This window comes from Homo sapiens, chromosome 14 (assembly GCF_000001405.40).
Source record: "Homo sapiens chromosome 14, GRCh38.p14 Primary Assembly".
NCBI classification, from domain to species: Eukaryota; Metazoa; Chordata; class Mammalia; order Primates; family Hominidae; genus Homo; species Homo sapiens.
In genome coordinates, this window is record NC_000014.9 from 90,486,585 (window position 1) to 90,488,687 (window position 2,103).

A 2,103-nucleotide genomic window follows, 5' to 3' on the forward strand; every position below is an offset into this window, starting at 1 on the left:
GAATATTTATGTGCACTGTCCTAGGCTCATATACATACCTTCGTGTCACTTAATCCACACAATATCCCTGCTAACTAATTATTATGAGCTCCATTTTACAGATAAGAAGACTGAGTCACAGAGAGATCCCCCAAGGTCATAATGCTAGTAAATAGCAGAACCAGGAATTGCATGATGCCAAAGACCGCAGTGCTATCCTGACTCAAGGAAGAACATGTCATGGGAAGATGGTAGGGAGAGGTGAGATAGGGATGAGCCCAAGGGAAGGCCTTGGATGCCAGAAGCAAGAGCCCAGACTTCACCAACATAGATTCTAAGAAAACTGCTAGCAGAGAAGGGAGCTGGTGGGCATGGAATGTTAAGAAGGCCAGGGGTCATAATCTCACCCAGCCACCGCAGCAGCTGTCACCAAGACACCCACCTCTCAGAGAGCCTTGCTTGCAGACCCCTTCATCTGATGGATTCTCCCGAGAGGTAGGAACTGCTTCCTTCTCTATGGCACCAGGCACATTTAGATTCAGAGAGGGATGTGAATTCCATGTGGGCAGGCTCCAGTTGTGACCTTGCCAGCTGCTGCTTCCTGTTCTCTCCTGATACAGGATGGGGGACAGCCCCGCCTCCTCCTTGCAGACTGGATGATAATTGAGCACACACCAGCTGCTCAGTGAGCCCAGCCTCCCTCTGCTTGGTGACTTGGACTGCAGCCTTGCCCACCTGGCCAGCTCGGAGCCCAGACCAGACCCTGCCCAGTGGGCAGAGGGCTGAGCTTGTGACACAGGGGCCCAGAGAAGGCCGAGGTCTGGCAGGAGGAGGGGAGCAGTGAGATCCAGAAAAGAACCACTTGGGATTTCAGCAAAGTAGAAGGATGATTTTCCCAACTGGGCCAGGGCTCTGTCTTCTTCTGTCTGTTAGAGGCAGATCATGATGAGGCCCTACAGAATGGCTGAGCCACAGGAGGGAAGAAGCCTGGGTCTCCAAAGGACCATGTAAAGGACAGCTGACCCCCACCCTCAATACCTACCCTGGGACTAGCGTGAGTGTGGGCAAGAAATGTGCTTCTGCTGCAGGGAGATGTTACCTGCGTGGGCCTGTTTGTTACAGCAGAATGCCTCCCCTAATACACAGTCTGTGTCATCATGGGGTCATGCAAATAGCACCCAGCTCCTGACTCAAAAAATAAGCCACCCGTTCGCTGTCATCTTGGACAGTTGCTTTGCTGAGACCCAATTTTCCCATCTGTGAGGAAAGAGGATCAGTTAGGTGATTTCCAAAAGTCCCTTCTGTTCTGTGATTCTGTTTTCTAAGAGGTGGACAGCAGTCTTTGGGAATAAAAACCCAGCCAAATATTAGACAAAATGTCTGACAGCATCCTGACTGATAAGATGGCCAAGTGGAAGCTTGCAGGCTGCAGGTGGAGATGGGTCACAGCAGGCTGAGTAATGACGCTTAAGGAGTATTGATTAGTATGGATCAATAACAGCCCAGCAAGGAAGTCTCTAGTGATGTGTCACAGGACTCTTTTATTTTACTATTTCCTAAGACAGGGTCTCATTCTGTCACCCAGGCTGTAGTGCAGTGGCACAATCATGGCTTACTGCCGCCTCAACCTCCTGGGCTCAAATGATCCTCCCACCTCAGCCTCCCAAGTAACTGAGATGACAGGCACAAGCCAACACACCTGGCAAATTTTTACAAATATTTTTGTAAAGACGGGGTCTCGCTGTGTTGCCCAGACTGGTCTCAAACTCCTAGGCTCAAGTGATCCTCCCACTTTGGCCTCCCAAAGTGCTGGGATTACAGATGTGAGCCACTGCTCCCGGTCCCACAGGGCTCTTTTAAGGTCAACAACTTGAACGAACCTACAGAAAAGAAGTTGAAATGTATACAAAACACAAAACAGAGAGGGCTAATGCACAAGTGGATGAGAGACCCATGATGAGAAGACCATGGTTCAAAATGGTCTTCATAAAGCAAGAGATTGGGACAAAGGTGACAAAGGCAAACAGAACCAAAGATGAATGCGAGTCCTGCAGAACTCAAGGGCTGGGAGAGCTTGTCTTGGCAACAGGCCTTAGCAGCAGGCTGTGCAAATGTGACCTGGGC

At 50.1% G+C, this 2,103-nt stretch overlaps 1 annotated feature.

Moving 5' to 3' along the window:
* Window positions 205-706: an enhancer, noted in NCBI's record as "H3K4me1 hESC enhancer chr14:90953133-90953634 (GRCh37/hg19 assembly coordinates)". NCBI's record gives its function as "activates a minimal SCP1, AML or CMV promoter by ChIP-STARR-seq in naive H9 embryonic stem cells {active_cell/tissue: H9 hESC(naive)}" and the evidence as "EXISTENCE:reporter gene assay evidence [ECO:0000049][PMID:30033119]".